This window comes from Homo sapiens, chromosome X (assembly GCF_000001405.40).
Source record: "Homo sapiens chromosome X, GRCh38.p14 Primary Assembly".
NCBI classification, from domain to species: domain Eukaryota; kingdom Metazoa; phylum Chordata; class Mammalia; order Primates; family Hominidae; genus Homo; species Homo sapiens.
Window position 1 is genome coordinate 23368539 of NC_000023.11, and position 15710 is coordinate 23384248.

General features: G+C 41.5%; 1 protein-coding gene across 2 annotated transcripts in view; it reads left to right on the top strand.

Annotated features, from left to right (window-relative positions):
* The window catches only part of PTCHD1 (patched domain containing 1), a 69979-nt gene that overhangs the window by 34143 nt on the left and 20126 nt on the right, over positions 1-15710 (top strand). For both annotated transcript variants that reach the window (XM_011545449.4, NM_173495.3), the window contains one exon: positions 11053-11713. In XM_011545449.4, coding sequence (XP_011543751.1) covers positions 11053-11713 — 661 coding nt within the window. The remainder of the gene's footprint in view (positions 1-11052; positions 11714-15710) is intronic.

The following is a 15710-nucleotide window of genomic DNA, read 5'->3' on the forward strand; positions in this document are numbered from 1 at the left end:
GGGATAGGATTGAGCGAAACAAAATCCCTGCCGTCGTGAAGCATATATATTCTAGTGTAAAACTCCCCGTGGGGAGAGATGATACCCAAGTCCTATAAGACCCCCAACTTCAATCTGATATTTTCAGTAAATCCACACACCGCAAGCCCCTTTATACAAATATGTTCTGTAAAGTTTTGTTTTGTTTTTTTCTTTTTCGTCGTGTGTTTCTGAGGTCAAGGGGTTATATAAGAAACATACATGGCCGGGTGCGGTGGCTCACGCCTGTAATCCCAGCACTTTGGGAGACCAGGACGGGTGAATCACCTGATGTCAGGAGTTCGAGACCATCCTGGCCAACATGGTGAAACCCCATCTCTACTAAAAATACAAAGAATTACCCAGACGTGGTGGTGAGCAACTGTAATTCCAGCTACTCGGGAGGCTGAAGCAGGAGAATCGCTTGAACCCAGGAGGCAGAGGTTGCAGTGAGTCGAGATCATGCCATTGCACCGCAGCCTGGGCAACAAAAGCAAAAATACTCCGTCTCAAAAAAGAAAAAAAAGACACATACATGATGCAAAAGATGCTATTTTGACTGATGAAAGTCTTCTCCCTTTTCACATCTGTTTTCTTCATCTCCAGCTGTTTGCGCATGCTTGTCATTGGTGATGGGCTTGTGGCTTCTTTCTGAGGTTTCTGTTGTAAATATCTGGCATTCACTGGGTTTTACTGTTTAGTACTGGTCGGAGTTTTGTTGCTTTTCTAGACTGCTTTGTCATGTTTGACCCCCGACTTTGCTACCTCATCACCATCTCCTGCTGTGAGTTGACCACGTTTAAGCCTAATACCAGAAAGCAAATTTATCAATATCCAAATGTCCAAAGCACAGAGATTAGGGGATAAAGTCTTTACTTTTCCAGAAGAACTCTCATTAGGGGACAATTTTCTGAGCCCAGGATTTAAATCTGGGCTGATCCACTTACTAAATTTGTGGCCATGGACAAGTTATTTAAGCTCCTAGAGGCTCAGCTTCCTCACGCGCAGATGGAGGGGTAATATCTACCTCCCTGATTTGCTGTGAGGGTTAAATAAGATGATAGATTGTAGCATTCTTTGCACAATGTCCGGCACTTAGCAAGCACTTAGTACCTTTTAGTTTCCTTCTTTTACCCCTACCATCTTTTCCTGCCTAGACTGGATTCCTTTAATTGATGTGCACAGTTATCTAACTAGAGAGCTAACCTGCAGATGATGGGACAATTTTCAAACTTGGAGCTTATACTGGGATTAAGGAGGGCCAACTTTAAACACATACTACCCAGCTGTTCCCTTCAAATATTTGTACTGATCCATGCTTCTAACCCCATTTACCCCTTAGTCTTTCAGCAAAGATGAGAGCAAAAATCGGTCACCTTTACATTTCATTGAATATACTTTTCAAGAAAAATGGAGGAAGTTTCACTATTTAAAGGAAAAGAAAGTTGAAGTAGACAAGACACAACAGAAGATAGAAATGGGGTTTTCTGTTTGTTCATTTTGTCTTTGCTATCAGACATTTACTGGGTACCACCTGTGTTTCAGAGACTGTACAGAGCAATTTACATTCAATTTCTGATTTATCCTTCAACAATCCTAATGAGATGGGTACTATTATTGGCCCCATTTTACAGATGAATAAGCTGAGGCAAGGGATAGCCATTACATAATAGCTTAGTGTCCAGGATCACACATCTCCTTAGTGCCAAAGCTGGGATTTGAGCCTAGGCAGTCTGATTCCATCATGCCAAACCATGCCACCAACATCAGCACCTCCCAGAAGGGTCGAGGCCTTTGCAAGCCGAGTCATAGAAACTATCATAGTTTGACCTTTTGCCCTGTGAGACCTCTTTTCAGATCAGGAAAGGGAGGGCAGTGGCTGAAATGCTCCTGTGATTTTTAAGGGCAGTAGCTTTGTATGAGAACCTTGAGAACAGAGAAGAATTATTGTCAGGAAGAAATGCACTGTCCTATAATACGTTATTTTATGAATTACAGGTACTCATCCTTGGTAAGGCTTATGGTCCATCATTAAGGAGAGCTGTTACCATATCATTAGGTGGAACTTTCTTCTTATTTTTTCTTTCATCAGCCATAATTTCCATTGTTCTCAAGTTCAGTGCCCATTAGAAACATAGCAAATCCTTTCAAAGAAAAAATGTTACCAAAGAGCTCATCTGATGAAGACATTTGTATATTTTTTGATTTAACAGTATTATTATTCAGTTTCAAATATCTTGGGGATGTGGGTTATATGGCATTTTGATTTTTTTCATAAGTTAAAACGACGGGAATGAGAAGATTTCTGAGATCCTTCCTAGCCCAAAACTGTTGTCTTTTTTCTAAAATCCTGCCCTGATACCACCAAACTGTCTCTTGGAAACCAAACAAAATTGTCTGATAGCCCCCTCAGGAAGCTCAGGTTCTGACAGGACTCTTGGGGAGGAGGAGAGGCAGGAGGGGAAAGAACAAACACTGACGAAAGCTCAGGTAGGTGACTCACATAAAATTGCCGCTATTCAACTACTTTTTAACCTATAGAAATGGCAATTTCATATGGTTTAACCTAATACTAAATGCCAGGCCAGACACCTTTTATAGGTAATCATAATGACTTTATGAGGTAAGGATTATTCCCATAATTCAGATAACAAAACTGAATTAAAAATCTAAATTCACTGTCTTAGTTGGACCTCCCCCAGAAGCTAACCTGGAGTCAAGCACTTCATGAGAGTACAATATTTGGAAGATAATCCCAGGAAGCACTGAGAAGAGAACAGCATCATGAGGCAGGGAAGAAAAGCCGTCGGCTATGGAGGCATTGTCAAGCCAGCTACTCTGTGGGCAACTGGAGTTTAATCCTGCTGGGGAACTCTGGGAAACAGTGAGGAACACATGTTGTAGGGTTATCCCATTTAGGAGGACATGTGAGCTGGGCTGTTCATACACAGACTGTCTTTAGTCATAGGTCCAGCCTGCTTAGAATTGAGATAGTATGTTAGTGCCCCAGTATTTCCACATCAGGCTGGAAATAGATATGATATGTGCACTGAAGTGGTAAGGATGAGGGGATATGCGCAGGGCCCAGCTGTGTTATGAACAGAGGCAGGATTTGAACTTGTGGCATTCTAACCTCATAACCCATGTCCCTCCCACAAAAGCACAAGATATTGTCAAGTCGGGAAGGATTAGGGGCTCCAGGACTCAATTGTAGATTATGTTTGGAAGCTGTAAGACCACTCACCAGAGGAGCTAGCATCCATGCTTCCTGCTGTATAATAATACAATTGTATTTGTGTAGCTCTCAAAAGTTGACAAAATGCATGCACACTCATCATCTCATTTGGCTTTCATCATGCCCATGATGAGACAAACTAAAGTCCCTTTACTCATGAGATTATTATATTCATGTGTTTACTTCACAATTGTTATGTGTTCCAGGCACTGTTCTAGTTAATGGAAATGTAGAGGTGGACCAAACAGAAACACATTCTGGCATGACAGAACTCATATTTGAATGGGGGCAGCAGAATAAAAACAGAGATGATGATAATGTCATGTCATGATGGTACCATGAAAAAATTAAAACAAGAAAAGATGATGGTGATGGGCAAACATACTAGTGTTTTTTTTTTTTTAAATTAGGGGTGAGCTCAGGAAAGATGATTGCATTTAAGCAGGGAAGTAAAGGCAGTGAGAACAGAAGTTTTTTAAGTGTCTGGAAGAAGAATGTCCCAGGCAGAATCAAGAGCAAGACGAGCACTGCAATGTGAGAATAGCGAGATGGGAGTCCAGAGAAGAGAGGTCAGCAAGGAGAATGTTTCATGTCAGGCGCCAAAGTCAATGCTCTGAGCATGATGAGGAACTCTAGGGGAATTTAAAGCAGGGAAGTGACGTGTTTTCATAGGTTCATTGTTTTGTTTATCTCTAAGTCATGTGGTCAGCAAAACCCAGAACCAGGACTAAAATTGAAGCCTTCTGACTCCTGATACAGTGCTCCTCCCATTCAGGTCCATGGTTGGTCATTCTCTAGACCTGAATGTCCTTGGCATGCTGTTTTTCCTGTTCCTGGCATGGTTATTTGTGGTCTGCTAATCAAATCTTGTAACAGCTGTTGCCTGTTCCCAAGCCCAAACATTTGGTTCCTTGGGACTTTCCTTTGCCATTTGTCCAGCCAATCAGCTTTAACATTCTCCTGTTTCTGTGAGCATCGGGTCCTCTTAGAGCTATCCAACAAAACTCTTCACCCACAAGCTAGCTCAACTACAGCTTAAGCTTGACCATGAAACTCAAGTGAGGATTTAGGGAATTTAAAAATAGCCACTCTATCAGCCACTCTAAACATTCTAATCAGAAAGTTCAACTTTACAGACTGCCAAGTATCTTCATAATATGAAGGATTTTTTCACAAATCAAGACCAAGTGAAATTTTCTCCCAGACTACGGGAATAAAGAGATTGTTGAACCTGTGGTTCACTGTACTGACTGTCTTATCCATACCAGTGTGGAGTCAGGCAGAAGTTGCAATGAGATACTGCAATTGCATTTTCCTTCACCATCACTATTTTTTGTTTCTAAAATCTCAGATTTCTCTGCTTCAAATCTAAAGCTGCCTTGTTTTTTCAGCCAAGCCTGCAAAGACAAACTCAGCTTGTTTGGAGAGTTACAATAAGGGCTGTCTTGGCTGCTTTTCAGTGTCAGTACCCGCAATAAGAGTGTTTACCACCTTGTAGAGTAAGGAGCAAAACAGAACTATTCAACTCTCCCAGACCTGCACTAGCATTGCATTACTGACAGAGGTAACCATTTGTCTTTTGTCACTGGAGCAGGTGAGCATGGCACCAGGCACACATGTGCAGAGGAAGTGTGTGGATAGATAGTCACTTGTTTGGCTATATCCACAGCTTAAATTTGGTGTCCTCTGGAAATGTAATATTTCAAAGGCAGGATGATATTTCTGTTCACTTATTAAGGGATGACTAACTTGCTTTTGGCTGCACTACAAATGAATCACGGTAACAATCCCTAACTTGCGACTTCTGGTGTTCTGATGTAATGCATTTCTATTAAAAGAAGAGGAAAGAGAGTGGGTGAGAGTGAGATCATGCAAAGACAGAACATAACACCAAGGGAGCTAGCGTAATTTATGAACTGCTGCAGCCAGATCCATCCACTTCAAGGTGTTTTCTTGCGTCCTGAGTGAGGATACCTTGCCAGTTAGCACCTGCCCATTTACAGTTGCAGAATATAGACCCAGATCAAGACATGTAGTTTGGAGGGATTCAGTGAAGGGAACATTTTATTTAGGGGTGAAAACCAGATATTCCTTGAAAGCATTTTTAAGCAGTTTTGATTGTGTCACTTGGAAGGTAATATTTGGGGACGGATGATATAGGTTAAGAAGTCAAATCATAATCTTCCTTTTTACATTTTTTTAATGTATGCAGCTTATTTGGGAGTAGAAGAAGTGGGAAGGGGGTGGAAACGTGAGACAAGGAAGGGAAGACAGCCTATAAAGGGGGTGTCATCAGGCTAACTCCCACTGGAGGTGACTGGAGCTCCATCCTGCTGCGACATGGGGAACCCATACGAACTCCGAGTCTTCCCTCACAGATGAGATTGCTTGGGGACTGTTTGAGGCTGACCCCAGAGCATGTTAATTGCCCTGCATGGGCAGAGTGGCCTTCCTCCTTCCCTCCTCCCTTTTCAACAAGAAACAAATACAAAAAAAAAAAAAAAAAAAAAAAAAAAAACCCAAAACCCTGCAAGGTATTGTATAAGATCCTCTAAACCCACAGGTATTTTTCCTGTGTTAATCACCACTCAGGAGCAGATACATCCTTCCTCCCTTCTGTACTGTCCTCTGCAAAGTGTCCCTGCTGTCTTCTGAGGAAGATCTGAGTGTGCCAAGGAGAGGCAGAGAGGAAATTAGACTCTGGCCTGTCGTGACCAAGCAGCCCACACTGGCTTTGTCCCAGGATCTGGCAGAAGGGGATTATAAGAGCCAACGCCTCCCCAGAATGGGAAATCACTCAGAGAGGGAAATCTTTTTTTTTTTTTTTTCCAGTAAACCTATATTCTTTACCGTTTTCCTTCTGGGTTTCATCTATCAGATCGGATTGCCCTGAAAAAGAACTTCAGTGTGTCAGAAAAGCATACCTCAAGTAGCCGTAATAATGTTCAATTTGATATTTATTAAGTTAACTTTCTCTCACCTGGTGTCTGATTATGTAGTTTGTGGATATCACTCATCTTAGAATTATGTAGTGTTAAAACTGGAAGGGTCTGTCCTTAAATATTAGCTAGACCAACACCCTTTTTAACTGATAAATATGAGAACTGAAGTTTCAGACTTAAAGAAGCAGAGTGGGATTCCTGAAGTTTCTGACACTCTTAAGGTAGGTAGTGGAAGCGACACTGGAAGCCAAAACTTTTTCTTACTGGATTCCATTGTGCCCCAGGACCTTTTTTCTTAGGAAGCCTGTCTTTGAAAAGCTTTATTTAGCAACACCAGAGGCTGGATGGAGATTAAGAAAAATCGTTAAACTCTAAACCCATCCCCTTCGTTACCTGTTAATACTGCCATGTAATGTTGCTGCTGTCTGAACATGAGTTTAGCTGTTTGGATTATTTCTGGTCTCTCTTATTGGACCCCAGATCTCCAATTGTGGCCATCCCATAGCTCAATCATATCCACTGCCAGTCACTTGAAGCAGGTGGGCTGACAATTCTTTTTTTTTTTTTTTTTTTTGAGACGGAGTCTCGTTCTGTCGCCCAGGCGGGAGTGCTGTGGCGCGATCTCCGCTCACTGCAAGCTCCGCCTTCCGGGTTCACGCCATTCTCCTGCCTCAGCCTCCCATGTAGCTGGGATAACAGGCGCACACACCACCACGCCCGGCTAATTTTTTGTATTTTTAGTAGAGACGGGGTTTCACCGTGGTCTCGATCTCCTGACCTCGTGATCCGCCCGCCTCGGCCTCCCAAAGTGCTGGGATTACAGGCGTGAGCCACCGCGCCGCCCGGCCGGGCTGACAATTCTTTATCCACCCCCAAGTTGTCTTCATGCTCACTGCTGAATTTGTTGGTGTATGCTAAGTGTCCTGCTGTGGAGTAAGACTTGAGAATCAGGTCTGCCCTTATTTACTGGCTCATCTCAGGTAAGTGATTGAAAGTCTCTAGGCCTCAGTTGCAACAGCTATAAAATGAGGATAATAGTATCACCATTGCCACAGAGTCTGTTTTAAATACATTTTTCAACTGTATAGAAAGCACTTAGAAAACTAATTACTATTATCATTATCATTCTTAACCTGAAGAATGATGAGAGCAAAGAAGCTAATAATTTACGTGATGTGTTCAGAGCCTTAAAACTAATCTCAATCTAACATTCAGTTTTGGCCTCTTTGGCAGCAAATACAATAACAATAAAAAATATTGTTATTGAAATTGACACTGGTTCGGGCTTTACTAGTACAAAGCACTTGGCGTTGTTTACTGTTAGGAGTTTCCCTTTGTTTTGGACACTGCATCTCATGAGATTTTTTCCACGCGCGAGTGCAAGCACGCTAAATTCAGGAAAATTATCCTATTATTGACAGCATAGTAGATTTGATGAGTACCTGTTGAATGTGTGTTGAATGAATAATCTAGAATCTATACATAGTTATAGAAACATGGATTATATGTTATTTCACACCACAGACTTAGACCACATTAAGGGTCAGGACAATTAGTTTGTGTCGTTTTTTCCTTCGTTTTCTTTTCTGAGAAGAGCGTCTCTTACCTAGTTCAATAACAAGCTTATATGGATCGCAGTTGTCCATTTTGTGGATTATCTGAAGCATAGCTTCAAACCCTGGCTTTCTTTTCCCTCTGTGAATATATCTGGTACTACAGTTTAGAACATCCACTAATGTTTCTACTGCCTTGAGTGGGGTTCTTTTAGGAAAGTAAATCAGGGCACTCTAAAACTCGGTATAGGTAGATGTTCAGGTAGCATGCGCAGTATATCTGCCCACGGCTATGTGGATTTCCAAGAGTGGATTGTGTCTGTGCTTATGTGTATTCATAAGCACCAAAGATCAGAACTGAGCCACTGCAGAAGTCACAGAAGGGAGTCTCAACTCCTTATTATAACTCTTGTTATCCTCTCACCTCTTATTCCACAGTAGAATCCTACAGATTCCCCCTGCTAGGTGGGTGGCCTCAGCCAACACCCTCTCTCTGGCTGCTTTGTCACTCTGCAGAACTCTGCCACTCAGAAGCAAGAGTGACATGTTCTACCCACCACTCTGTCGGAAAGTCAAGGCAGTTGCATCTTACAGCAGCTCTGGAAGTGAGTTAAGAAACCTTCCCTCTCAAACTTCATTAAGGTTCTCATTTTCCAAGATTCCCTCCTATGGTCTTGTAGTACGCGGGTTAACATGGTGTCTGTTTTCTTCGATGTATGGTCCTGGGGTCATAGCAGTAGATCTGCACAGTTGGAAGATCCCTAAAGAGTTTACAACTCCCCACCCAGAAGGGCATGGCCGTCATAGAGAATGGATGGAAAATATCCCCTTGCTATAATTGGGTTCAGCCCTGTGGCTTAACACCATCTTATTTGGCAATCTTTTTCTCTTGACATATTTAGTAATCACTTTAAGGGAGATTTATTACACTGCTCATGGGAACAAACAATGCACTAAATATTACACTTAGGCATGCTTTCAATACCACTCCTTTTCTAGCCTATTCTGAATCTTTTCCCAAAGTCTTTCTTCAGTGCTTATCAAAACTCTCTCTTGTCTTTAAATTCCTCTAAGTTCTTCTTTCTTCCAAAATAACCTTTTATAATTTGAAATATTTTGTAACTAGGAGTTCTTTTAATCAAAATTCACTGGGCCATGCTTAGAGAAGAATTGATAAAAACACACTTTCACAGCTTAAAATCATGGAAGACATTTTGCTCACCATTAATCCCAAAGCATCAAAACAAACATTTAGCATATGATTAGGCTGTGAAAATAGCCTCCTAGGGGTGTGTGTGTGTGTGTGTGTGTGTGTGTGTGTGTGTGTGTGTGTTTACATATTTATATAAAGGAATTCAAATTATTTCAGCCAAACATAATACAATGAAATGTTTTCTGATCCTGTGGGTTGGTACCCATGAAGAGATGGGGGGCAAGGGGCCACTGAGAATTAGGATTCTCCACTCATGCTCTGTGCTAATGAAAGCACTTTGACAGCTAGTGCCCCTCAGACATTGTTTTAAAAGCATAATATCCCACTCATCCAGGCACATGCGCAGCAAAATGTCTTAACAGATAGTCTATTTAGCACAGATTTGAGAGAAAATATATCAGGATCATGGAGAAGGTAATGAGTTGTAGTGGCACAGCTACAGTATAACAACTCTGTGCATGTTAAATTCTAGCTTCTTTACAGATGAAATGTCCTTCATTCATCAGATATGTCATAATGGCTATCTATACTCTTGAGAGAGTCCACTCAGTGCTAAGCACAGTCGTAGATGTACTAGTTTACTTAACACTCAACTACATGTCTGTCACTGGCCTCATTTTGCACACGGGCCACATTTTATACAGAGAAAGCAAAGCCACCATGAGGATAAGCTACTGGTGAGTCAAAACAGTTAAACTAAGGACCTGTGTAGCTACCACTGAAACAGTAACATGATATGCCATTTTCAAAAAGACAGTGATGAGCCCCGCCATTCCTCCTACCTACATGGCCTCCCTGAGCCCCAGTTTTCTTATCTGTAAAGTGACTTGTTGAGAGAATTTAAGGTGTGAAGCCCTGACACGTGGTAGTAGCTCATTTAACTCCCTTACTCCCACCACACCCCTCGACTACCTTGTTTTCTTATCTTAGACAGTAGATTACACATACTCGTACATATCTGAAATAGAGCATTTGTGACTTTTAGGAGTGGGGCAGTAAAAGCATAAATTCAGAAATTAGTTGCTAACAAGAACCTTAGGTATTCAGATGGCTAGAGGTGTATGGTGAGGGGCCAAGAGCACAGGTTCTGGAGCCAGACTGCCTGGTATAGCCCAGCTCTGCCTCTTACTATGTGTGTGACATTGGGCAAGTGACTTGGCTTCTCTGTATTGCCTCATCTGTAAAATGAAGCTAGTACTTGAACCTACTTTGTAATTTGCTGCAAGGATTAAATGAGTTTATCTGTATAAGGAGCCTAGAATTGTGCCTGGCATGTAGTAGGGGCAGTTAAATTAGTGCGTGTATTCTCCTGCATATTTTGATGACAAGCATTCAGTACCTGGGCACAGCAAATTCGGTATAGAGCAAGGTGTGTAGAATAAATCCCATTGTTCTCCTTTAGCATGATTCCCATATATCCCAGCCAGGCTCTTACAGTTATAGCTCCCTTCCCATACATGTAGGCAAGGAAAGCCAGAGACAACAAGGACCCTCAAGGTAAACCTCTTGTCTTATATGGTAGAGAGAGACTTAATTGGATGAAGAGATCATTTAGTTGCCCTGCAAATCGGCATTAAAGGACGAGCCAGCAGAGGATCTCTGCATTTGGAATTGCACCTTAGTTCACTTTCTATGTTACATTTTCAACAGGGACACTGAACAGGGGACCTATATAAGACTTCCCAACAGTATAGACCAATTGGGTCACAAATAAAGAACACGTGGAAAGAATACTGGTACTTTAATGCAGCATTTCTCAAATGTCAGCTGCATCAGAATTCTTAAGAGGGCTTGCGAAAACCCAGATTCCTGGGCTACACCCCAGAAATTCTGATTTACCAGGTCTGGGATGGTGCCTAAGAATTTTCATTTCTGACAAGCTCCCAGGTTATGCTGCTGCTGCTGTTCTAGGGGCCACATTGCGAGAACCACTGGTCAAATGTGTGTTTCACATTCCTACTACCTATTTCTGATCTAGGTTTATAACATTTGATTTGAACTGTTTAGCTTAGAGACGGAATGTCCACCCTCTCCAAAAAATAAAAATAGAAATATTTGATTAATAAATGCTGTCATTTTTTTCCCCCACAGTTGCATGCTGCTGTCACCAAGATCCAGGTTCCAAGGCCTGGTTTTAATTACACGTTTGCCCATATATGTATCCTGAATAATGATAAGACTTGCATCGTGGATGACATAGTGCACGTCCTGGAAGAGCTAAAGAATGCTCGGGCCACCAATCGGACCAATTTTGCTATCACATACCCAATCACTCACTTAAAGGACGGGAGGGCTGTGTACAATGGGCACCAGCTTGGGGGCGTCACTGTGCACAGCAAAGACCGGGTGAAATCTGCAGAGGCCATCCAGCTCACCTACTACCTGCAGTCAATCAACAGTCTCAATGACATGGTGGCTGAGAGGTGGGAGTCCAGCTTCTGCGACACTGTCAGACTGTTTCAGAAATCCAACAGCAAAGTCAAAATGTACCCTTACACGTCCTCCTCACTGAGGGAAGATTTCCAGAAGACCAGCCGCGTATCAGAACGTTACCTGGTCACCAGCCTGATTCTGGTGGTTACCATGGCCATCCTGTGTTGCTCTATGCAGGACTGCGTCCGCAGCAAACCCTGGCTAGGCCTGCTCGGATTGGTGACCATAAGCCTGGCCACTCTCACTGCAGCCGGGATCATCAATCTTACTGGTGGGAAATATAATTCCACCTTCCTGGGAGTCCCTTTCGTCATGCTAGGTAATTACTACTCTTCTTTCTTCTGTTTCCGCCTGCTGGTGGTGTTGACTAGGTTCCTAAAAGGCCAGGAGTAGCCTTCTAACAACTTTGTTTCATTTAACAGTATCTTCATTTTGCCCAAAAGTCCTGGGACCCACTCTATAAAGTGCTGGTAATCAGCAAAAAACAACCTAATCTGGTAAATGTGCCAGAAGTTCAAAGTCCTGGGTTCTAGCGCTGACTCTCCATTGAGCAGCCATGTGGTGTCTAGCAGGTATTAATCTTCTCCTTGTCCCAGTGTCTTAGGTTGGGCTTCCCCATAAGCAGGGCCCTGAGAAAAAGATTTGGATACAAGTAGTGTATTTGGGAGGTGAGCCCAGGAAGCACCAGTATGGGAGTGAGGAAGTGGAAGTTGAAGGCACTTCAGTTGAAGGCAGGCAGTTGAAGGTATGTTAATGAGCCCAAGATATATCACATTCTGCCGGTTGCTGTGGGCACCTGTGGTTCAGCCCCACAGGGGACCTTTGGGAGACCTTGTGAAACACACCTCAGAGAGGTCCTCCCCCGGGGTGAGGAATTTGGGCTATTTTCCCACAGACCCTTTGTGATTCATTGAGGGCTGCTCCCCAGGCCAGTTAACTGCCAGCACTTCCCAGGGAGGTGCTCCTGCAGCACACTCCTGCAGCCAGAGAAATCCTTCAGGTGACTTTGTAGTTATAAGCCTTCAGCAAGCTCAAGAATGGGGAATGGGAGGGCATGTTGGGTTGGCACTGAGAGCGCCTGCTACTCTCAGTTTCCCCACCTTATGAATAGAGTGGATGTGAGCATCACACAAAAGGACATGATAAATGTATAAGAACTTTGAAAGTGACATGTGAGATACCAGTAGGAAGTAACTTTTTTTCCTATTCTTACTATGAACTCAGGAGAATATTTTAAAGCGATGCTGATGGTGACAGCGTGCTTCCAGTGTGTCCACTCAGGGGGCTGCTGGAACTCCCTGATAGAGATTAATGGTCAAAACAAAGCCATAGTGGCCATAACATCGGTTGCCCTGTCCATCTGTTATCGAAAATGGCATGCCCAGCAAGCCTGATGGCAGGGTTCTTGCGGGCCAAGGATTCAAGAGGTTCACTTTCCCCCTTTTCTATGGTAGCTTCTCATCAATTCCTTTAACAAAATTAAAATGTCATTTGGAATCAGATACTCACATGACAAATGAAGTGGCATTTTTTGGTTAACTAAGAAATAACCACTGTTGAGGTCATTAGCGTGCCTTATGCCCTGTTTTAGAGTAGTGGAAGAGAATTTCCTCAGGAAATCTCCGCTGTGTTGTGAGCACACGATAAGCGGGGCTGGTGGGGCTGCAAAGCCACAGAATTACATTCTGCCCTCGATTCTCTGTGGCCCGAGGAATTGAAACCTAGTCAATAAACATATACTAGTAGCTTTTGTGAAGAGCTGGGCACTGTAAGGAGACCGAGCAGCCTGATAATTTGATAATGTACTTGTCACTGCTGAAAACAACAGAGAAGAAGGCTGCCGTACCTCCTCCTGAATTCGGTCTATTAAGAAAGCAGCATAACCTGCCGCTTTAAAATCACCCCAAGACCGTGTGGGTTGACTGTGGAATACAGAGTGGTTCCTTGAAGAGTGAGTAGGACTGAGTATTAGTAGCTTCCACAGAGGCTTGTATCAAGGTTGAAATTAAGATGTTTTGCTCATGATTAGTCACAATCTTGAATGTTTTGGGGGTTACGGGAAGGGTTTTCGTTTCGTTTCATTTTTTAGCTTTTCATTTTCTTGCTGCTTTTGTGGGAGGAAGAGAAATAGGAATAAGAAAAGAGTGGGGAACTGAAGGGAGATCGTAAGGTTCTCAAGGTGAGGCAAAAGGACGCCGGAGCTAGAAAAAGGACAATCAGTGCTGATTTTATGACATTCCAGGTTGTTACCAGTGAGCTCAAAGCATGTTAGAATATTTAAAACTTGTGAAAAGTTAATTTACTAAGTAAAATAAAATTATAATATTTAAAGTTTCTTCAAATTAATTTTAAGTAAACTAAAATAGCAGTATTCAAAACTTCGTTTCACTAAAAAATGAAATTGTAATATTCAAAACTTCTTAAAGTTAGTTTTATAAAGTAAACTGCAATATTTTAAATTTCTTAAAACTTACTTTTTTGTACTTTTTAAAGAGGTTTTAAATATTGTAAGGCAAAGTCAACACAAAACAGACCATGGCAGATAGTATTGGTGCAGGGAAGGATGTAAGAGATGGTAGGATGGAAAGATGCTGTTAGCAGGGAAATGTCTTTAAAAAACAAATCCAGAAATAGTAATGCCACAGATCCACAAAGACTGAGTATCACTGAACTTTACATCACAGTTCAATTCAGAAAAAATCTAGCATTTGCAGCGAAAGAGACCACGCACCACAGGTGCCCAATAAGCCCTTGTTTGCAATTTCTGAGGAATGTTACGTGCATTGATTTGATGGCAGTTTTCCCTGCTGACAATCAGTGTGCAACCTTTCTGTACATTCTCAGCCCAAAGAGTTCTCAAATTACTTAGTCATAACATGAAAGGAAGCTACATGTTTTAATAGCTAAGGCCCATTTACAATAAACACTTTGCACGATGTAATGGGTGCTTAATATGCTCATAAAGCTAACAGTGCCTGGATTTAGGATGGTCGCCCTCCTGTATTTCTCAGATAAACTCTTCATTTTTAAGAGTTTATAAAATGAAATATAAGCAAGAACAGCTTCATAAATGTTGCATTCAAGGCCATCGTTTAATTCTGGGGTTTTTGGATGACCAGTCCTAAAATGCCAGTAAATATTTCAAATGACCAAGAAGAAATGCAGTGCTAAGAGTTTTGGCACTACAGTAAACTGTCCAGTGTTTAAATTTTCCTGTGTATAACTTAAAATGGCTATGCTTAACCTAAGCAGATTTAAGCAAAACTTGATTTAGTATGTTATATAAATACAATATCAAATCAAAAAGTATATAGCCTCATTTAAAAGGTAAAGTATCTTAGAAAAAGTCTCAAACATGGACATTTCCTTGGCTATCAATAGGTCTATACTGTGATAAACATTATAGATTTAAAATTCAACAAACTGAACATTGTCAGTGTGATTCTGGTCACATAGGCCAAATCCAGCCAAATGCCAAAATGACACTAGATTTAGAATGGAAAATTTTAAGATCACATGTGTCAAGCAGTATTAACCTGACAAAATTCCAGAAGAGGAAAGAATTTGGATAAACTCTTAAGAGTTCACCATAATGGGATGTGACTGTGTGTTTCTAGCCAAGATGATATGTGACAGTTCTGGCAATAAGAATATATCCTACACAGATGAATCATTTTGGCAATGATGTAAGCATAGATACATCATGATTTAGAATGTTTTTAATCAGTGTTGTGCATACTAGACAATCCCACTTCTGCCAAAACCTCTGTCCAGATGAGTCATATCAGTTTATTTAGAGCTGAAATCCTAAAAGGTCTACAGCGTTATAAATGTTCATCGACATTTTTTAGTTACTCTAATTTGGAGAAGAGTTTATTTGGTCTATACCCTTATCGTGCATAAAATAATAACCCTTTCCAAATATATTGATATCAAGTAGTGAGTTACTTGAATTGCTACTTGTGAATATATGATGCTAATTATTTTAATCTGTGATGGAATTTCCTTTAAAGGATGAAGATTTACACCATTATTCTCCAGTTGGGTATGATTTTTAAAATTAGCATAGGTTTTCTGTGTGCAAGCTCTCCTTACAGGCTTAATGTTTCAACAGCTTTGCTGATCAGATACAAATCAGGAAAGGGATAGAATGTTAGATGATGTAGAAGGGAACCAAAAGAAAGTTTTCTCCCTTCTGCATCTGGAAGGTTTGTTGCTTCATGTACATCCTGTACAGCTAAAAAGGAGAATTGAAGTCGTAGTGAAAGAGTTCGGATATTAGTTTCTACATGCAATCTAGTTTATAAAGGTTGCTT